Below are 23,312 nucleotides of genomic sequence, written 5' to 3'. Positions count from 1 at the left end.
CACGCTCTCAAGATAAACGGTAACTCATCCTCATGTAAAAGGACTTGCTATGTTTTTTTTTTTTTTTTGAGACAGGGTCTCATTCTGTCATCCAGGCTGGAGTGTAGTGGTGTGATCTTGGCTCACTGTAACCCCCACCTCCTGGGTTCAAGTGATTCTCATACTTAAGCCTCCCGAGTAGCTGGAATTACAGACATGTGCCATCATGCCCAGCTAATATTTGTATTTTAGTAGAGACAGAGTTTCGCCATATTGGCCAGGCTGGACTCAAACTCCTTCTTTTGATTTCTGTGTGGCTTCAAGTGATCCGCCCATCTCGGCCTCCCCCAGAGTGCTGGGATTACAGGTGTGAGCCACCGCACCTGGCCTGCTATGCATTCTTAAACACTCATCCTAAATTCACCTGGAAATCAAGGTGGCCACCCATGCTAGTTAATTACCTGTATCCGGTGAAAAAACAAAACTTCTCATATCTCCTTGACAAGCAGGTAGTAACAGCTCAAGGTGCCTAGGCTAAACTCCCTAGGCAACAGGAAGATAGGGACACTATCTTCCTCGAGGTTTACATTTCAAAGACAAGACTCTCAGGCTCTTAAGAAAAAAATTCCTGGGTTGTGGCTGGGCGTGGTGGATCAGGCGGGTAATCCCAGCACTTTGGGAGCCTGAGGTGGGTGGATCACCTGAGGTCAGGAGTTCAAGACGAGCCAGACCAACAAGGTGAAACTCCGTCTCTACTAAAAATACAAAAATTAGCCAGGCGTGGTGGCAGGCGCTGTAGTCTCAGCTACTCAGGAGGTTGAGACGGGGGAATTGCTTGAACCCAGGAAGTAGAGGTTGCAGTGAGCCGAGATCACACCACTGCACTCCAGCCTGGGTGAGAGTGAGATTCCGTCTCAAAAAAAAAAAAAAAAAAAAAAATTCCTGGGTTGTAGTGTTGGCAAGAAGTTCATTCACCTTTTTAAAAGATTTAGATACATGTCAAAGGCACAAAAGTTATTTATATTACCACGTTTATCAAGGAAATACTCTTTAAAAAGGAGAGGAGAAAAGGTTAATTTACCTTGTGGCAAATAAGACAAATTTAATCTTTTTTTTTTTAGAAAACCCGTACAGTGAGGGCTGGACACAGTGGCTCACATCATCTGTAATCCCAGCAATTTGGGAGGCCAAGGCAGGCAGATTGCTTCAGGCCAGGAGTTCGAGACCAGCCCAGGCAACATGGCGAAACCCCATCTGTACTACAAATACAAAAATTAGCTGGGCATGGTAGTGTGTGCCTATTGTCCCAGCTACTCTGGAGGCTGAGGCATGAGAACCGCTCGAACATGGGAGGCAGAGTTTGCAGTGAGCCAAGATTGAGCCACTACAATCCAGTCTGGGTGACAAGAGTGAAACTGTGTCTCAAAAAACAAAAAACAAAAAAACAAAAACAAAGAGCCTCTTTTCCATCTCCCTGCCACAGAGTAATTTCATTTGCTTTTTTCCTCAGGGTTTACTGGGTTTCTGGGTTCCAGAAGGGGAAATTCTCTTCAAGGTACAGAAACCACAACTCTGCAGAGAACCGCAGAGATGGCAGCATGACCAGACCCCGGTCAGGTGTGGGGAGGCTGCTGGGCTGAGACTTGGGCTGAACTTCCTCTGCAGGTCGACTTATTCCCATCAGCACCAAAGCCGCTGGAGGAGGTCATCCAACAGCAAAGGAAGCAGGGAGCGCAGCTTGGAGGCTGTTTCAGATAGTCTCACTGAGCCAAGGACTCAAGGCCTGGCCACAGCCCTCCCAAGTGAGGCCCAGATCATATTTCACTATGCTCAGAAAACCTTGTCTACGGCCGGGCTCGGTGGCTCACGCCTGTAATCCCAGAACTTTGGGAGGCCAAGGCGGGCAGGATCACAAGGTCAGGAGATGGAGACCAGCCTGGCTAACACGGCGAAACCCCGTCTCTACTAAAAATACAAAAAAATTAGCCGGGTGTGGTGGCAGGCACCTGTAGTCCCAGCTACTCGGGAGGCTGAGGCAGGAGAATAGCGTGAACCTGGGAGGCGAAGCTTGCAGTGAGCCGAGATCACGCCACTGCACTCCAGCCTGGGTGGCAGAGCAAGACTCTGTCTCCAAAAAAAAAAGAAAGAAAGAAAGAAAGAAAACCTTGTCTGCTCATTTTAGTCCATAGTGACTTTGCTTTCTTAGGATCTCTCTTACACTGTTCAACCCAGAGAGTTCCAAATCTGAATGGATTCCAATGATGGGGTTAAATCAGGCCCCACCTCAGTTTCTGAATTACAATCAATAGGGCCAGGTCCCAGCATCTATATCTTAATGTTCCTCCATGTGATCCTCGTGCTGAAAGGCTGGTATTTGCAAATCCCTTCTTGTGGGGAGTGAAGAGTTTTTTTAGAGACAGGCCTCACTCTGAGGCCCAGCCTCGAATGCAGTGGTGGGATCACAGCTCACTGCAGCCTCCAACTCCTGGCTGCAAGAAATCCTCCCACCTTGGCAACCAAAGTGTTGGGATTGTAGGAGTGACCGCTGTGTCTGGCCAGGAAAGCCCTTCTGTGTCACTTGAATGATATTTCTGCCGCATACCTGCAGCCATTGCTGTATTCAACTGCATCACTGCGGGAAAAGAGAAGGCGAGAGGTGGCTGTTTTGCTTTTTTCTGAACATATCAGACCAAACCTGGGCTGTTTAGCCTTTTTTTTTTTTTTTTGAGATAGTGTCTTGCTCTGTCGCCCAGGCTGGAGTGCAGTGGCGCAATCTCGGCTCACTGCAACCTCTGCCTTCCAGGTTTAAGCGATTCTCCTGCCTCAGCCTCCCAAGTAGCTGGGATTACAGATGTGCACTCCCACGCCCAGCTCATTTTTTCTGTATTTTTAGTAGAGACGGATTTCAACACGTTGGCCAGGCTGGTCTCGAACTTCTGACCTCTGGTGATCTGTCTGCTTTGGCTTCTTAAAGTGGTAGGATTACAGGCATGAGCCACCGCACCTGCTTCGCTACGTTTTTTGACAACGTATCAACATCATTTAAGATGGGCACGGCCTCAGTGTAGTGTGTCTAGACAAGGTGGCCAGAAGAGAGGGGAATATGCAAACCAGGCTTGAAGACGGGTTAAATCAGAGCTTTTCATTCCACAAAAGAGCAATTTTAATGGGGTCAGGACATTGATCTTCTAATATTTGAAAGCCTGTTAACTAGGAGAGAGAGAGCAAACTCTTTTGTTGTAGGAGGACCTACCCAGCTCTGACGGTTTAAAGCGTCATGAATGCAAATTTGAACTCCAGAAAAGCAGAGTTTCCTAACAATGGGACTTCCACAGCAATGGGATCTGCTTCTTCACTCAGTCTGTGTCTTTCCCATGAGTGAGAGACTCCTAGGAGAGCCACAGCACATTACGAAGCCATGTGGGAACTCACTCACAAGTTCTTTATTTTTTTGAGATGGAGTTTTGCTCTTGTTGCCCAGGCTGGAGTGCAATGGTGTGATCTTGGCTTGCTGCAACCTCTGCACCCCAAGTTCAAGTGATTCTTCAGCACCCCCTCACCCAAGTAGCTAGGATTACAGGCACCCGCCACCATGCCTGGCTAATTTTTTGTATTTTTTGTAGAGATGGGGTTTCACCATGTTGGCCAGGCTGGTCTCTAACTCCTGACCTCAAGTGATCCACCCCCTTTGGCCTCCCAAAGTGCTGGGATTATAGGCATGAGCCACTGAGCCCGGCCAGGAACCCACAGGTTTTTCGGATGGTCTCTGAATGTCATGCAACTTTTATTTTTTATCAAAAAAATTTTTTTGACACGTCTTGCTGTGTTGCCCAGACTGGAGTGCAGTGGCAAGATCATAGCTCACTGCAGCTTCTAACTCCTGGGCTCAAGCGATCTTCCTGTCACGAGTCTCCCAAGTAGGTGGAGCACAGGTGCCAGCCACCACACCTGGCTAATTTGGTTTGGTTTTGTTTTTTTACAGATGGGCTCTTGCTATGTTGCCTACACTGATCTTGAACTGCTGGCCTCAGGCAGTCTTCCTCCCTTGGCCACCCAAAGTGCTGGGATTACAAGCATGAGCCACTGTGCACAGCTGAGATTTTTCGACTTAGTCTTTTTGTACATGCGATATTTTATTCATAGAATCCATAAATGGTAGGGAAATTTCTGAGTTCAGAGCAATACGTATGATACAAAACTTGATATATAGACTAGAGTTTCTTAGCCGAACTGGAGAGGCTAGCTTTAGGTAATCCATGGACTCCCTGAAATTGGGGACACCATTGGAAATATGTGTGAGCTCATGGGCACTTTCCTATGATTTTCAGGCCTCAAAATGTCTCTTGGACTCAAAGATGCCTTAGGGCAGAGGACGCTTGTACCCCCAGTATAGAATCTCGGACAGTGAATGTCAGTAAGCATTCGGCAGAAAAGCTCTGCCAAATTGAGTGCTCTGATGTCATTTTTTCATCAAGGTCAATGTTCCTGGGATCTCTTGTACATGATCATCTCACTCTTGTAAGGTTTCATAGTTTCTGCTTAGCCTAGTTTTCTTTCCCACCCTGTTCCCTCTCCCACCAGACTGGACTCTGAAATGGGCATGTACAGAGAAGAGGAGACCCCAACATACTTCAGGCTTTGAGTGGAGAGGACACAGCCTCTGCTGGGACAGGGAACAGAGGGATGCGGAGACCCTGAAGATGCTTTTGGACAGTGGTCTGAGGTTGGGACAGTGGCAGGAGATACCATTCACCCAGGACAAGAGATCAGCCTGGCAGTTACATGTGTTTTTCTTCCAAATGGTTGCCAGGTTGGAATAACCAATGACATCAGAGATTCCAACCTTCCTAGGAAGGACTGGACTCTGTGGGCGCCTGGGAGCTCAGGTGGACAAAGCATCTTCTCAGAGCTGTTCTCCACTCCTGACTTCTCCCAGCCTCGAGAATTGACAACACACTCTTCTGGGTCTTAGCAGAGTCCAGAAGAAGGCCTTGGACAGAATAGAGACTAGGTTCCATGGGATGGGACAGATTTTGGGAAAGATCATGACCAGCCATCAACCACACCTCCAGGATGAGGAGCAGAGCCCCCAGCCCAGCGCCTCGGGGTACCCCCTCCAGGAGGTGGTGGATGATGACATGTCAGGACCATCAGGTGAGGGGACTGGAGGAAGAAGAGGTAGGATAGGATTGACTAAGACGAAGGAAGGGGGACGGGCGCAGTGGCTCACGCCTGTAACCCCAACACTTTGGGAGGCCGAGGTGGGCGGATCACCTAAGGTTAGGAGTTCGAGACCAGCCTGGCCAATATGGTGAAACTCCATCTCTACTAAAAGTACAAAAATTAGCCAGATGGTAGTGGTGCGCGCCTGTAATCCCAGCTACTCGGGAGGCTGAGACAGGAGCATCGCTTGAGCCTGGGAGGAAGAGGTTGCAGTGAGCCGAGATAGCACTACTGCACTCCAGTCTGGGTGAGAGAGAGATATTGTCTCAAAAAACAAACAAACAAAAAAAAGGTCAGAGATCAGGAAGGAGAACCTGAGAAGGGTGTGTGGGAAGAATGGAGAAATTCAGGCCGGGTGCAGTGGCTCACACCGGTAATCCCAGCACTTTGGGAGGCCAAGGCAGGCAGTTCACTTGGCCTGCCAGGAGTTTGAGGCCAGGAGTTTGAGACCAGCCTGGCCAACATGGTGAAACCCCATCTCTACTAAAAGTACAAAACTGAGCTGGGCATTACAGCAGACACCTGTAATCCCAGCTACCTGAGAGCTGAGAGGCTGAGGCAGGAGAATAACTGGAATCCGGGAGATGGATGTTGCAGTGAGCTGAGATTGCACCACTACACTCCAGCCTGGGAGACAAAGCAAGATTCTGTCTCAAAACAAAACAAAACAAAACAAACAAACAAACAGAAAAAGAGGGACTCAGAGAGCCAGGGACCAGGGAAGGACATGAGGAAGTGTTCTCAGGACAGAGAGATGCAAGAATGGGGAGGAGAAGGAGCACCACATGGGGCTCAGCAGAGGAGAAAGACAGAAAGATGGCTTGGAGAAACCAACAGTCTGTGAGGCTGGGGAGGATGGAGAGTAGTTTGGGGTTTTGGGTCGGGGTCTAAGGTGGTCAGTTGCAGAAGCATTACACCGTGGCCTGGTTTCTTTACTCAGCCCCTGGGGTAGATCCCAGCCCCTGGGGTAGGTCCCTTTGCTGGAAAAGGAAGAGGGAGTGGTCGGACGAATCTGAGGAGGAGTCAGAGGAGGAGCCAGAGAAGGAGCTCGCCTCTGAGCCTGAGGAGACCTGGGTGGCGGAGACACTGTGTGGGCTCAAGAAGAAGCTGAAGTGACAGCGAGTGTCACCCGTGCTCCCTGAGCACCTGAGGCCTTCAACAGGCTGCTTGGTAGGAGGACACCCCAGAGAGCACCTCCAATCCCGTTCTTTCTAAAAAGAGGAAACTTCCAATAACCACACTTTTCCAATGGGAAAAATATGCCCCCAGTGGGTGAGCTCTCCATGCGGGAGGACTCAGAAGTGATCACTCATGAGGGACGTTTAGGAGACGATAGAGGATTAGGATTAGGTCAGCGCTTGGGATGAGAAAGCTTGGTTTTGAGCTGAGTGCGGGGGCTCACGCCTGAGATCCCAGCACACTGGGAGGCTGAGGCAAGAGGATTGCTTGAACTCAGGACTTTGAGGCTGCAGTGAGCTATGATGGCACCACTGCACTCCAGCTTGGGTGATAGAGCAAAACTCTGTCTCAAAAGAAAAAGCAAGGCCAGTTGCGGTAGCTCATACCTGTAATCCCAGCACTTTGGGAGGCCGAGGCAGGTGGATCACCTGAGGTCAGGAGCTAGAGACCAGTCTGACCAACATAGTAAAACCTGATCTCTACTAAAAATACAAAAATTAGCCGGGCGTGGTAGCACACGCCTGTAATCCCAGCTACTCAGGGGACTGAGACAGGAGAATCGCTTGAACTTGGGAGGTCGAGGTTGCAGTGAGCTGAGATTGTGCCACTGCATTCCAGCCTGGCCCACAGAGCAAGACTCTATCTCAATAAGTAAGTAAGTAAATAAATAAATAAATAAAACAAAATAAAAAATCAAAGAAAGTGGCTTCAGCTGTGCTCTCTGAAACTTAATGTCTCTTACTGACTTTTCTAAACCTAAGTGTCTCCATCCATAGTGGGGGATACCAAGGCCATGGTCGCACCCTGATGTGACTGTCTCATGAGGAAATGATGGGAATTCCTTTATGACTCTGCAGTGGTTCTCCGTGTCTGCTGGGAGGGCATCCTGGCTTATTCCCAGCTCTACATCCCATAGATTCTCACACCCAGGGCCTCCTTCGGCCTCTTCTCAGGGGACTCTCCGAGCAGGAGCCTCTGTCCCTTGCCCAGTGAAAGTCATTCTCCCCTCTCCCATCCACCTCACCTGCGGCCACAATCCTGAGACTTACCCCCCGGGAAGCACACTTCTCCTCGCTGCTCTGCTGCTCCCACAGAAACCCTGTCCTGCTTCTCACGCTGACATCTGCTCTCTAATCACAGAGGATCCTGTCGTTAAAAGACTCCTGGTCTGGGACAAAGATCTGAGGGTGTCGGACAAAGTAAGGTTGTTTTCTACGGAACGGTGTTCCTGCTTCAACGCACCGCCTGGAGCAGGGCACAGCTTCCAAACCCACAGTTCCTCTCCTCTCTCCCTCCAGCATCTCCCACCAGATGCTCCCACAGTCTTTTTCTTTTCTTTTTGTGAGACAGAGTCTCGCTCTGTTGCCCAGGTTGGAGGGCAGTGTCTCAACCTTGGCTCACTGCAGCCGACGCCTCCCGAGTTCAAGGCATTCTCCTGCCTCAGCCTCTCAAGCAGCTGGGATTACAGGCATGCACCACCATGGCTGGCTAATTTTTGTGTTTTTAGTAGAGACAGGGTTTTGCCATGTTGACCTGGCTGGCCTTGAACATCTGACCTCAGGTGTTCCACTCGCTTTGGCCTCCCAAAGTGCTGGGATTACAGACATCAGCCACTGTGCCCCTCCAGCTCCCACAGTCTTGAGTCTTGGTGCCCATTTTTTTTTCTTTTTGAGACAGTATCTAGCTGAGTTCCCCAGGATGGAGTGCAGTGGCATGATCACAGCTCACTGCAGCCTCTAATTCCTGAGCTCAAGCAATCCTCCTGCCTCAGCCTCCTGAGTAGCTGGGAGTACAGGCACATGCCATCACGCTTGAATAATTTTTATACAAACAGGGTCTTGCTATGTTGCCCCGGTTGTTCTCAAACTGTTGGGCTCACGTGATCCTCCTGTCTCCACCTCTCAAACTAGTGGGATCACAGGCTTCAGCCGCCACTCCCGGCTATTCTTGGTCTTCTTTATGATTTGCCAGCGTCTCCCTCAGGACTCTGCTGGTCTCTTGCCGAGTGAATGAGTGGCCCCTGCCTCTCCTACAGGTCGTTTGGGATCTGAGCCATGGGCCACAGTCTGGCCGCAGCTCTGAAGCTCCTGGCCCCTCTACTCTCAGCTCTTTGGGACAGTTCTCTGCCTGGCACACAAAAGACCCTCCTGACACCAGCTGACCTAGACTCACACTTTCAAAGATCCCATCAGAGCCCACCATCCTGGGAGCATCACCGACATCCCTTCCTCCGGCTTCTCGAATTTGCATCCGACCTTTGAATACCCCTCCACCCCGCAATTTGCACATGAGCACAGTTACCCCAACACTGAGGACCCTTCTCTGATGGGCAACCCCTCCCCAGACCCCCATTCCACTATCTCCATGATCTTCCTCTCCCAAGATGTGACCTCTCCCTCTCTGTGTTCCCTTCGCTCCATCAGTATCTCCTGGCTATGGTCATAGCGTATTCTAGCCCGGCCAGCCTCTTCTCCTGGCAATACCAACGCATTCATTTCTTCCTGGCTCTGTGAGTGGTTTGCTGACTCCTATCCATCAGTATCCAACGCCCTGGGACAGCAGAGGAAGGTGAGATTCCAGCCTGTCATTTATTCTTTCACCTATTTGTCCTCTTTACTCTGTGTACAAAAAAGACAGGATTATACTATCTTGTTCTTAAACTGTTTCTAAAAAGAAACTCAGGCTGGGCACAGTGGCTCATGCCTGTAATCCCAGCACTTTGGGAGGCCAAGGCAAGTGGATCACCTGAGGTTAGGAGTTCGAGACCAGCCTGGCCAACATGGCCAAACCCCGTCTCTAGTAAAAATAGAAAAATTAGCTGGGCTTGGTGGTGTGCACTTGTAATCCCAGCTACTTGGGAAGCTGAGGCAAGAGAACCCCTTGAACCCAGGAGGTGGAAGTTGCAGTAAGCTAAGGTTGAGCTACTGCACTCCAGCCTGGGCGACAGAGCAAGACTTTTTCTAAAAAAAAAAAAAAGAATAAAGCAAAAGGAACCATAAACTGCTCCTAAGGGGAGAAGAAAAGGAGCGGAGGAGCGGACACGACACTTCCCCCAGCAAGCAGACGTTTCTGGTTCTTCTCTCTCTCTCCTTCCCACATCAACCGCAAATGCCATCGTCCTCCTCCGGGTTCCCACGACAGAGGCCACAGTTCAGGTCCCCCTTGCATCATTCGAATCCACTGTCAAATGCTCCCTGCCAGGGTCTCCTGGAGTCTCTCCCCAAGCCAGGGGGCTCCCTAGTGCAGCCTGAACATCTTTCCACAGCACAACAACCTCACTGCCCACCTGAACAACCTCCTTAGCTGATGTCTTTCTCTATCGAGGCCAGGGTAACAGTGCCAATTCCACCCTCTCTACAATCTCTACAACCACACTGGCTCACCATCTTGGTGTTTCCTGGCTTGGCTTCACTGCTCCTTCCAAATGCCCTCCACTCGACTTTGCGTTTGTGTTTTCTGTCTGGGTGTCCCACACACATGTGGTTCTGAAGGGAAGGACCCATTCCTTGAAGTCAGTTCACCCCACAGCCTCTGTGATGCCTTCCCTCATCTTCCAACTTCTGCATGCCCATAGCTCTCCAGTTACATCCTATTATAATGTGACACTGGGATTAGGTCATCTGCCCTGATTACTCCCAGTCCCATTAGACTAGATGCCTGTAGAAGGCAGGGTCCTAGCAAAATATCAATGTATCCAATTTATTTTACTTTTTTGAGATAGACTTGCCCTGTCCCCCAAGCTGGAGTGCAGTGGTGAGATCAAAGCTCACTGCAGCCTCCATATCCTGGGCTCAGGCGATCCTCCCACCTCAGCCCCTTGATTAGCTCTGACTACAGGGCTGTGCCACCACACCTGGACAGTTATTGATTGATTGATTGATTGATTGAGACAGAGTGTTGCTGTACCTCAGGCTGGAGTGGAGGGGCCCAATCTCGGCTCACTGCAACCTCCGCCTCCTGGGTTCACACAATTCCTATGCTTCAGCCTCTTGAGTAGCTAGGACTAACAGGTGTGCCACCGCACCAGGCTTTTTGTATTTTTAGTAGAGACGGGGTTTCTCCAGGTTGACCAGGCTGGTCTCGAACGCCTGGTCTCAAGCGATCCACCTGCTTCAGCCTTCTAAAATGCTGGGATTACAGACATGAGCCACTGTGTCCGGCGTATTTTTTATATTTTTAATAGAGACGAGGGTCTTGCTATGTTGCCCAGGCCCATCTCAAACTCCTGGCCTCAAGTGATCCTCCTGCTTCGGCCTCCCAATGTGCTGGGATTCCTCGCATAAGCCACCACTCTCGGCCACCAGTTGGGTTTTTGTCTCCATCCTGAAGGAGTGGGAGACGCCCTTCAGCAGGTCTCTGTCCAGCAGAGCCCTCCTGAGGAAGGTGTGGCTCTGTGCAGGGTGGGTGCCCGTCCTGAGCTGAGGACGGTCCCCTGCCCTCCTCTCTGGGAAGCTGACCTCAGCTGGAGGTCTCTCCTGGTGGTGCCCCTGAGCAGTAACCTGATTTCTGTTCCCAGCTACCTGACCAATGACATGGAGGAGGACAGCGAGACCCCCAAACAAAACATCTTCTACTTCCTGTACGGGAAGAACTGCTCTCAGATAGCCTTGTCCCACAAGCTTTGGTTCCAGTTCTTCCATTCCGTGCGCTGCAGGGCTTGGGTTTTCCCGGAGGAGTTGGAGGAGGTGGGTGGGGCCTGGGGAGATGGAGGAGGTGGGGAGGAATCGGGTGGGCTGGAGGCTGGATGAGGGGAGGGAGGAGTATCCTGGGGAGTCCCCATCTTCTTAAGGGGCATTTGTTTTTCCAGATCCAGGGTTATGACCCAGAGCACTGGGTGTGGCCATGAGATCGGGCCCGCCTTTCCTAGAGCTCCAGGGACTGTGGAGGCCTGAGGTCATCGGCCTGAGAGAAGGTACATCTGTGTCCTCTGGGGTAAAGGCAGAATATTGGGGTCTATTTCAGAAATCTGAGGAACCCAACTGCTTGATCTGGCTTCAAGCCTGGGCAACATGGCAAGATCCCCTCTCCACAAAAATACAAAAAGTAGCCAGGCGATGTGGGAGGCATCTCTACTTCCAACTACTCAGGAGGCTGAGGCAGGAGGATCGCTGGAGCCTGGGAGGTCGGGGCTGCAGGGAGCCCTGATCCTGCCACTGCACTCCAGCCCGGGCGACAGAGTGAGACCCTGACTCAAAAATAATCATAAATACTGAATTTGGGGAGGTTCATTATGATTGACGCACTTGAGTTACCGATTTGGGTCGAGGGTTCAGTGAAGCTTTGGTTTACATCTCGTGCAGCTAACCACATTGAGCACAGAGCATGAGACTTCATCATGAGGAGGTAGGATTATGGATTAGGCTTCTGGACTCAGGGTTCGTGATGTTGTCACAGTAGAAACAGATCTAGCATGGTTACAAGTTTAGATCTTAAGTGACACAAAAGGCCCCAGCTGTGATGAAGTCCAAAGCCACATTCTCTGAGGGTGCCCTACTCCCTGGGCAGACCCACGCAAAGTCCTTGCTATGAAGCAGATCACTGGGGCTGCCCTTGGGTGTATTAAGTGAGTTTTGGAGTCAGGGTCACCAAAGTGTGAGTTTCACAGTTGAACATAATGGTTCAGAAGCAGGCTATGGAACGAAGGACAGGAGATAAAATTGGATTTCTCAATTGCTCTGAACTCTACTTAGACTTGACATGGGACGTGAATAACCTTCCTGTCTAGAGAGCTGCCTCCTTGAAGTGTGACATCCTCTTTCTCACTTCCAGAATGCTGGGCCCAGGGGAGATGCGGATTTTCATCAGGAACTTTATTCCAATGCTAATGGCAGGCACCAGGAAGAAGGAGAGGAGCCATTTGTGCAGATCATCTAGAAGAACCTGGACTGTTCTAGATGAAGCCGAATAGAGTGATCACGTTGTCGTCCTAGGACTGGGGGTGGGGGGGGGGTGGTACTTCTAGGAATCCACAGAGAACAGTAAGAAACCAGGGGTGTTTCTGTTTCCACCCCTTCCTGCGGCACCACCTCCCTTTTTATATTGCTGAATTCCAACTTCCCTGGGGTGGAACCTGGAGGTCCTGTTTCTTACGGACTTGGTTGCCACAGTCCAGGAGCATTTGAAGGCACAGTGCAGACACTCAGGCACAGAATTCTTTGTGAAATATGAGTGTCATAGACTGTAACAGACAGCTTCATGCACACTATGCATTTATTGGTTTGGAAAATGTTGGCCATCGAATTATTAATAGGTTTATTTCAAATAGTTTGGAAATTGTTGTACTTTTGAAAACATGCTGTTCCTGTAGATTTTTTGATGAGAGTTACAGCTGTTATACATACATAAAGATAATTTTCTTTTCATTTTGAGAATCCTTTTTATCCTAAATCTTTTATTATCTTTAAATTGTTTTCTGTATTATTATATGTGCCTCTGAAGCGAGTACACTTTTTATCTATGATACTTCCATAATAATCTCTTCTATTTATAGCTATTGGTAGTTCCCCTAAATTCCTGTCATACACATTTTTATTTGCTGTTTAGATTTGTGACTGAATTGTGAGAATTCAGTTGTGATTTTTAACATCTTAGATATATACTAACATGTCTAATATATACTATATATTTTATTGATTTTGAAAAAGATGGGCATTATTAGAAGAATTATTACTACATTTATTTTAAATATTTTGAAAATATTGGTATTTTTGAATAGACACTGTTCCTATAAAGTTGTGAGATGGCTGTTACAGCTGCTATATACACATAAATATAATTTTGTTTTCCTTTTTAAGAGAGCATTCTTTTTATCCTAAATCTTTTATCTTTAAATCTTTATCTTTAAATCTTTGTATCTATTATTACATGTGCTGCTGAAGGGAGCACTCTTTTTATCTATGATACTTAATATATGTACTACACTTACAGCTACATGATAGTTCCCCTAAATTCTTATAAAAATAAATTTTTATTTGATGTTTACTGTATGTTTTTGAAATGTGAGAATTCTGATGTAACTTTTTACCTTGTATTGGCATGTTTGTATGTTACTTTAAAGAGGATGTGTGTTTTAAAGGAGAACATGAGCTGTGTGTTTTCAAGAGAACAATGCAGTGCGTCTCTTGGGGAAACGTAATAAAGATGAAGTTTTCTCACCTTCACAGCGAGTGTGATCATATTGGTCTGGATTGATTATTTGCTGTCATGTGACATTTTTCCTCAATGGGCTTTTGGTTATTTGAACATATATATTAATTAGCTCTAGAAGACAATCCTGCATTATTTTTTATGTAGAAAAAAAACACAAGGCTGGGTGCAGTGCTCACACCTACATTCCCAGCACTTTTGGAGGTCATGGCAGGAGGATCACTTGAGGCCAGGAGTTTGAGGCCAGCCTGGGCAACATAGCATCAACAACTATTTTTTTAAAAATTTTTTAAAAAGAAAAATAATAGAAGAGAAGGCCAATCCCAAGCTAGAGGTTTTGTTTGTTTGTTTGTTTTGGAGACAGAGTCCTGCTGTGTCTCCCAGGCTGGAGTGCAGTGGCATGACCTTGGCTCACTGCAACTTTCACCTCTGGATTCAAGCGAATTCTCCTGCCTCAGCCTCCTAAGTATGGGACTACAGGCACCCAACCTTACATCCGACTAACTTTTGTAAAAATAGTAGAGACGGGGTTTCATCATGTTGGCCAGTCTGGTCTCCAACTCCTGACCTCAAGTGAATTGCCCGTCTTGGCCTTCCAAAGTGCTGGGATTAAGGGAGGAGACCACCTCTCAAATTGTCTTATGCCCAATTTCTGCCTCCAAAGAAAGAAAAAGTAAAAACTAAAAGGCAGAAATGAAAACCACAGGCAGACAGCCTGGTGCCACACCCTGGGCCTGGTAGTTAAAGATCGACCCCTGACCTAATTGGTGATGTTATCTACAGATTACAGACATTGTATAGAAAAGCACTGTGAAAATCCCTATCTTGTTTTGTTCCGATCTAATAACCGGTGCGTGCAGCCCCCAGTCACGTACCCCTTGCTTGCTCAATCACGACCCTCTCACGTGCACCCCCTTAGAGTTGTGAGCCCTTAAAAGGGACAGGAATTGCTCACTCAGGGAGCTCAGCTCTTGAGACAGGAGTCTTGCCAATGTCCCTGGCTGAATAAACCCCTTCCTTCTTTAACTTGGTGTGTGAGGAGTTTTATCTGTGACTCATCCTGCTGCATTTCTTGGTTCCCTGACCAGGAAGCGAGGTGACTGGCAGATGGTCGAGGCAGCTCCTTAGGTGGCTTAAGCCTGCCCCATGGAACATCCTTGAGGGGGACTCTGACCAGCCCGAGCGACGCGGATCCTGCGAGCGCTCCCAGGTAGGCATTTGCCCTGCTGGGACGCCTTGCCAGAGCAGTGTGTGGCAGGCCCCCGTGAAGGATCAACGCAGTGGCTGAACACTGGGAAGGAATGGGCACTTGGAGTCTGGACATCTAAAACTTGGTAAGACTAGTCTTTGAAACTTACCCACTCCATTTGAGTGGAAGCGTGGCCTGATCACCCACGGCGTGCCTTTATTGGCACTTTGGTTTTGGTTTTGACTTGGTTTGAATAGCTTGATGGGACTGGTTTTGGGAACTTGCCTACTCCATTTGAGTGGAAGCATGGCCTGGTCACCCATGGTGTGCCTGTACCAGCACTCTGGTTTTTGTTTTTGACTTGACTTGGATTGCTTGATACTTTGGTTTTGGTTTTGACCTGGCTTGGATTTCTGGATACTCTGATTTTGGTTTTGATTTTGGTTTGGTGTAAACTACAAAAGTGTGTGCCATTTTTACCCATTCTTTGTTTTGTGGTGTGCGTGTGGTGTGAGTGTGGTGTTTTGTCTTGAGGAAACATGGGTGAGGACCAAAGTAAGCCCACCCCACTAGGAACTATGTTGAAAAATTTCAAAAAAAGGATTTAAGGGAGACTATGGAGTACTATGACACCAGGAAAACTTAAAACTTTGTGTAAGATAGACTGGCCAGCATTAGAGGTGGGTTGGCCATTAGAAGGAAGCCTGGACAGGTCCCCTGTTTCGAAGGTATGGCACAAGGTAACCTGTAAGCCAAGGCACCCAGACCAGTTCCCGTACATAGACACTTGATTACAGCTGGTTTTAGACCCCCCGCCCCCAACACACAGTGGTTGAGAGAACAGCAGCATAAGCAGCTGGCAGAGGCAAGGAAAGAGCAGCAGAGAGAGAGAAAGGAAAGAGACAGAGAGGAAAAGAGGCAGAGAGAGAGAGGAAGAGACAGAGAGGAAGAGACAGACAAAGAAGGAGTCAAAGAGAGAAAGAAAGAAAGAAAAAGAAAGAAAGAAAGAAAGAAAGAAAGAAAGAAAGAAAGAAAGAAAGAAAGATGATTTAACATTAATCACTGAAAATTCCCTTAACCCAGCAGGTTTCCTAACAGGGGATCTAAATCTTAATTACCATACAAAGGTCTGACCAGACCTAGGAGGAACTCCCTTCAGGACAGGACGATCGATGGTTCCTCCCGGGTAATTGAAAAAAAAAAAAGCCATCTATACCAATTCTAATTTGGACAAAACAAGGTCGTATTAATAGCAAAGGACAATTAAAATCCCAAACTTACAAGGTTTTCAACTAAAGTCTGCTGAAAGTTAACAGTGTAACACGTATTATAGTAACTTCTATTCTTGTGGCGTTAGACAGTCTAGTCCACAGACATAAAAAAGGTTTGCTTTGGAAAAGAATGGTTATCATCTTCGGAAAAAAAGGAAAAAAAGGGGGGGACGGAATTTATATAAAAAGAGTATTATATGGTAAATTCTTGTCCTGAAACAAATTAACTGGTTGTTTAAAGAAAGAAATATTTGTAATAAGTCAGAAAGTTGATGCATGTTGAAGAATTGTCTGCGAAAGTCATTGTCTGTGAAAGAGAAAAATGTTATAAAAAAGAATTTATGCAAAAAAGTTGTATAATTTAAAAGTAACTAGGCCTCCTGAATGTAAAACTATTGAAGAAAAAACAGCTTATGTGTAAGATGTATAAGAAAAGTAAAATATACCTTTGGTAAAAGGATTATAAGGAGGCATAAGAATGTGGATTTTTACCTACATTAAAAAGTTTAAAAAATATATTGTTTTGAAGGTTTAAGCAAGTTTTAAAATGTTAATTGTAAAGAAAATTCTGTGTGTAAACATATTAGCTAAAGTTAAAGAAGTATCATCCAGTTTTTCTGTGAACTGGACATTAAAGTAAAAGCATAACAGGTTTTTCTTAAAGCACCAACCTGCTCTTTAGCAAAAATTATAAAAGGTTAAAAAGAGTCTATAAAATCTTACCTTATGGTCAAACATTAAAAATTAGATAAATATGTTTACAAGGTTTTATTAAAGTTAGGTTTAACATTAATAACACACTAATATACAATTTAGCTTATCTGGTATAAAAATCATACAAAAAGCATTATTAAATATAAAATAGTGTTTAGCTTTCTTTGGTCTAAAAAGTAATAAAAATAGGTGCTAAAGGAAATTTCTCAGTAAAAAGGCACTAAGGACTATAAAGTCCACTGCCAGGGTCCCCACATTTAAAACAAAAGGTCAATTTCTTAGAAATTATATACTTGATTTATCTTCCACTTTTCTTTCTCTCAAAAACTAAAAGTGGTTTAGCACATGTACCACTGCTAGAATTTCCGGTAAACCAGCACCAGCCTGAAGATCACGTTCTCATCAAAAAGTGGAAAGAAGAAAAATTCGAGCCAGCCTGGGAAGGACCCTACCTTGTGCTGCTAACCACCAAGACTGCTGTTCGTACAGCATAAAAGGATGGACTCATCACATCCGAGTCAAGAAAGCGCCACCCCCTCCAGAGTCGTAGGCTATAGTCCCATAGGAAAACCCTACCAAACTAAAGCTAAGAAAAATTTAACTCTTTTCATCTATTCTATTACTCTTCCTTCTTTCCTCATTCTATTGCTGACCATCTAGTTATTAACATAACCAAGTCAATTTCACCTCAAACTATTGCATTTAATGCTTGCCTTTTTATACCCTGTGGGGACTTGCCAAGTCAAAGACAGCTCTCTACTTCACAAAAGTACTTCTGTCCCTCCTGACTCTCCTCAGACTGGGCGTTAGTAAACTAGGACCATTTAATCCGGGGAGATTTCGATAAAGACCCCAGTGCCAACCAGGAGTCTTGCCCCCCGATGTAGAGTTTTCATGCCATAGTTGGTCCAACGTTCTGTGGACCACTAAAGAGCAAGGGTGGACTGCCCCAACCGGTTTTTGTAATTTCCTAAAATCATACATTCATTTTACTAGAGGATCATAGAAGTTAAAGACTTAAAACAAACTTTAGCAATTAAGACAGGATACCAAGATGCAAATGCCTGGTTAATTGGATCACATATTCCATCTGCACGTTAAACAAAAGCAATTGTTATGTGTGTGCACATGGCAGGCCAGAGGCCCAGATTGTCCCCTTTCCACTAAGGTGGTTCTCCAGTCAACCAGGCGTAGGCTGCATGGTAGCCCTTCTCTGGGATTCTACAGCCTGGAGTAATAAGTCGTGCCAAGCTCTCTCTGCTACATCCCAAAGTCTAGCACCCTGTGGATCAGCCCCCAAGGGCCATCCAGCCTCTGTCTCCCAACACTAAGTTCACTTCGTGTCTCTCATGACAGGGAGGAAACTTAGCATTCCTTGGAGACCTGAAAGGATGCAGTGAGGTTAAGAATTTTCAAGAGCTTATCAATCAGCCAGCCCTTGTTCATCCCAGAGCAGATGTATGGTGGTATTGTGGTGGACCTTTACTGGACACTCTGCCGAATAACTGGAGTGGCACTTGTACTTTAGTCCAATTGGCTATCCCTTTCACCCTGGCATTTCATCAACCAGAAGGAAAAAAAATATGATATCGTAAAGCAAGAGAAGCCCCTTATGGGTCTTTCGACTCTCATGTCTATTTAGACGCAACTGGAGTCCCACGAAGAATACCAGATCAATTTAAAGTTTGAAATCAAATAGCTGCAGGATTTAAGTCAATATTTTAGTAGGTGACAGTTAATAAAAATGTAGATTAGATAAACTACATCTATTACAACCAACAACAACGAGGTTTTCATGAGTTAAAAGAAAAACTCATGTCGGCCCCAGCCCTGAGGCTACCTGACCTGCAAAACTCTTTATGTGTTAGAAAGAGAGAAAATGGCAGTTGGAGTTTTAACCCAGACTGTAGAGCCCTAGCCAAGGCCAGTGGCCTATCTCCCAAAACAACTAGACAAGGTTTCCCAAGGCTGGCCCCCAGGTCTAAGGGCCCTAGCAGCAACGGCCCTGTTAGCACAAGAAGCAGATAAACTAACCCTTAGGCAAAACGTGAATATAAAGGCCCCCCATGCTGTGGTAACTTTAATAAATACCAAAGGACATCATTGGTTAACAAATGCTAGATTAACCAAGTACCAAAGCTTGCTATATGAAAATCCCCACATAACCACTGAAGTTTACAACACCCTAAACCCCACCACCTTGCTCCCGGTACCAGACAGCCCAGTTGAACATAACTGTGTAGAGTTGTTGGACTCCGTTTATTCCAGCAGGCCCAATCTCCGAAACCATCCTTGAACATCAGTAGACTGTGAGCAGTACGTGGATAGCAGCAGCTTCGCCAACCCCTGCAAAGTGACTCTGAAGAAGACGACAAGCCCTGCTCCAGTCACACCCGGAAGCTGACTGATCCACGTACGGCCGAAGCATGAGGAAACTCATCGCGGGACTCATTTTCCTTAAAATTTGGACTTGTACAGTAGGGACTTCAACTGACCTTCCTCAGACTGAGGGCTGTTCCCAGTGTATACATCAAGTCACTGAGGTAGGACAAAAGGTTGCTACAGTCCTATTATTTTATGGTTATTGTAAGTGTACTGGAACTCTAAAAAGAACTTGTTTGTATAATGTTATTCTGTACAAGGTATGTAGCCCAGGAAATGACCAACCTGATGTGTGTTATGACCCATCTGAGCCTCCCCCATGACCACAGTTTTTAAAATAAGATTAAGGACTGAGGACTGGTGGGGGCTCATAAACGATACGAGTAAAGTGTTAGCCAAAACAGAAGAAAAAGGGGTGCCCAAAAAAGTCACCTTAAAATTTGATGCCTGTGCTCTCATTAATAGTAGTAAGTTAGGAATAAGGTGTGGTTCTCTTAATTAGGAAAGAGGCTATATGGCAGAAAATAAGTACATCTGTCAGAAATTAGGACTGTGTGGAAATAAATGTAAACACTGGTCTTGTGTCATTTAGGCCACTTGGATAAAAAAAAAAATGAGAAGGATCCAGCCCACCTTCAGAAAGGAAAAAATGGCCCTTCCTGTACTAAAGGACAATGTAACCCCTTAGAGCTAGTAATAACCAAGCCCCTCGATTCTCGCTAGAAAAAAGAGGAACGTGTGACCTTAGGAATCACGGGGCCGGACTGAACCCTCGAGTAAATATCTTGGTTCGAGGAGAAGTTTACAAACGCTCTCCTGAGCCACTGTTTCAAACTTTCTATGATGAACTAAATGTGCCAGTACCAGAAATTCCAGGAAAAACAAGAAATTGGTTTTTGCAATTAGCCGAGCATGTAGCGCAGTCTCTCAGTGTCACTTCATGTTATGTATGCGGAAGAACTGTCATGGGAGATCAATGGCCATGGGAAGCCCGAGAATTAGTACCTACGGACCCAGTTCCTGATGAATTCCCGGCTCAAAAGAATCACCCTGATAATTTCTAGGTCCTAAACGCCTCAATTATTGGACAATATTGCATAGCTAGTGTAGGAAAAGAATTCACTTACCCCATAGGACGACGTAGTTGTCTGAGACAAAAACAGTCACTTGGTGGAGTTCAAATCACACAGAAAAAAATCCAACGCCGGGCGCGGTGGCTTATGCCTGCAATCCCAGCACTTTGGGAGGCCAAGGCGGGTGGATCACAAGGTCAGGAGATCGAGACCATCCTGGCTAACATGGTGAAACCCCGTCTCTACTAAAAATACAAAAAATTAGCCAGGCGTGGTGGCGGGCGCCTGTAGTCCCAGCTACACGGGGGGCTGAGGCAGGAGAATGGCGTGAACCCAGGAGGCAGAGCTTGCAGTGAACAGAGATCGTGCCACTGCACTCCAGCCTGGGCAACAGAGCGAGATTCTGTCTCAAAAAAAAAAAAAAAAAAGAAAGAAAAGAAAGAAATCCATTTAGTAAATCCCCAAAGTTGCAAACCATGTGGACCCACGCAGAGTCCCACCGGGACTGGATGGCCCCCACTGGATTATACTGGATATGTAGGCATAGAGCTTATGCCAAATTACCTGACCAGTAGGCAGGTAGTTGTTTTATTGGCACTATTAAACCATCTTTCTTCCTACTGCCCATAAAAACAGGCAAACTCCTGGGCTTCCCTGTCTATGCTTCCTGCGAAAAGAGAAGCATAGCTATAAAAAATTGAAAAAATGATAAATGACCCCTAAGAGAATCATACAATATTATAGGCCTGCTACTTAGGCAAAAGACGGCTCGTGAGGATACTGGACCCCCATTTACATGATCAACCGAATCGTACGGTTACAAGCTGTCTTAAAAATAATCACTAACAAAACTGGCAGAGCCTTGACTATTCTGGCCCGGCAAGAAACTCAGATGAGAAATGCTATCTATCAAAATAGATTGGCTCTTGACTACTTGCTAGCAGCTGAAGGAGAGGTCTGTAGGAAATTTAACCTTACTAATTGCTGCCTATACATAGATAATCAAGGGCAAGTAGTTGAAGACATAGTTAGAGATATGACAAAACTGGCACATGTGCCCGTGCAAGTGTGGCATAGATTTGATCCTGGGGCCATGTTTGGAAAATGGTTCCCAGCACTAAGATTTAAAACTCTTATATTAAGAGTTATAATAGTAATAACAACCTGCTTACTGCTCCCTTGTTTGCTAACTGTACTTCTTCAAATGATAAAAAGCTTCATCGCTACCTTAGTTCACCAAAATGCTTCAGCACGAGTGTACTATATGAATCACTATCGAAGTGTCTTGCAAGAAGACATAGGTAGTAAAAATGAAAGTGAGAACTCCCACTACTGAGTGAGATTCTCAAAGGGGGGGAATAAGGGAGGAGACCACCCCTCATATTGCCTTATGCCCAATTTCTGCCTCCAAAGAAAGAAAAAATAAAAACTAAAAGGCAGAAATGAAATCCACAGGCAGACAACCCGGCGCCGCACCGTGGGCCTGGTAGTTAAAGATTGACCCCTGATCTAATTGGTGATGTTATCTATAGATTCCAGACATTGTATAGAAATGCACTGTGAAAATCCCTATCTGGTTTTGTTCTGATCTAATCACCGGTGCACGCAGCCCCCAGTCAGGTACCCGCTGCTTGCTCAATCAATCACGACCTTCTCACGTGCACCCCCTTAGAGTTGTGAGCCCTTAAAAGGGACAGGAATTGCTCACTCGGGGAGCTCGGCTCTTGAGACAGGAGTCTTGCTGATGCCCCCGGCCGAATAAACCCCTTCCTTCTTTAACTCGGTGTCTGAGGAGTTTTGTCTGAGGCTCGTCCTGCTACAGGATTACAGGCATGAGCTACTGCACCCAGACCCCAAGCTAGGGTTTTAAAGCAGGAAATGAGGGAAAGATACCGAGAGAGGAAAACCAGGTGGTAAGAAAACTCTAAAGGTGGCAGGGCGCGGTGGCTCACTCCATTGATCCCAGCAGGAGTTCGAGACCAGCCTGGCCAACATGGTGAAACCCTGTCTTTAGTAAAAATACAAAAATTAGCCAGGCATGGTGGTGCATACCTGTAATCCCAGCTATTTGGGAGGCTGAGGCAGGAGAATCACTTGAACACGGAAAGTGGAGGTTGTAGAGATTGTACCACTGCACTCCAGCCTGGGCAACAGAGTGAGACTCTGTCTTCTGCTGCAAAAAAAACAAAAAAACAAAACAGTTCCTGCCACAGTTAAAGCTGTTAAAGACAGGCACTCTGCCATGCAATTCTTTGTGATTTTTCTTTTTTATTTCTGGAGTCGGAGTCTTGTCCTATAACCCAGACTGGGGTGCAGTGGCACGGTCATAGCTCACTGCGGCCTCAGACTCAAGCTCAAGCGATCCTCTTACCTTGCCTCCCAAAGTGCTGGGATTACAAGCATGAGCCACCGCACCTGGCCTGTGTGACGCAATTCTGATGTCAACTCCCTGATGTTACGTCAAATGCCACAGGTCAAATGCCACCAGCCCCCACTAGGCTGCCCTTGCTTCAGACGCAGCTGCAAGCTTGAGTGTCCTCAGACCACATGTACTTCTCACCAACTGCCTGCAAATTTGGAGATTCCCACCGTGCCCTCAGGTTTGATAATTATAACAACTCGCAGAACTCAGAAAAGCATGACACTTTCTTTTTCTTTTTCTCTTTTTTTTTTTTTTTTGAGGTGGAGTCTCGCTCTGTCGCCCAGGATGGAGTGCAGTGGCATGATCTCGGCTCAGTGCAACCTCCGCCTCCCGGATTCAAGCGATTCTCTTGCCTCAGCCTCCCGAGTAGCTGGGATTACAAGTGATCACCCCCAGCTAATTTCTGTATTTTTAGTAGACACAGGGGGTTTTACCATATTGGCCAGGCTGGCATCGAACCCTTGACCTCAGGTGATCTTCCCACCTCGGTCTCCCAAGTGCTGGGATTACCAGCATGAGCCACTGTTCTCGACCAAGCATGATACTTTCACTACAGTTTTACATAAGAAAAACACTGACAAAAGTTAAGACCGGACAAAAGCAGAGACGCATAGTGGAAACTCTGAGAGCGTCCCACAGATGACACTTCTGTGTCCTCAGGACGCACCATCCTCTCAGCACATTGATGTGTATCACCGACCAGGGAAGTTCACCTGGGCCTCCACATCTGGGGC

The 23,312-nt window shown here is 46.6% G+C and overlaps 2 pseudogenes; one reads left to right on the top strand and one right to left on the bottom strand.

Annotated features, from left to right (window-relative positions):
- SPDYE19P (speedy/RINGO cell cycle regulator family member E19, pseudogene) lies at positions 3,296 to 13,540 on the top strand (annotated as a pseudogene).
- LOC105375134 (uncharacterized) lies at positions 8,106 to 9,099 on the bottom strand (annotated as a pseudogene).

Source organism: Homo sapiens, chromosome 7 (assembly GCF_000001405.40).
Source record: "Homo sapiens chromosome 7, GRCh38.p14 Primary Assembly".
NCBI lineage: Eukaryota > Metazoa > Chordata > Mammalia > Primates > Hominidae > Homo > Homo sapiens.
Note: the sequence above shows the minus strand (reverse complement) of the source record. Positions and strands in the feature narration are given on the sequence as shown.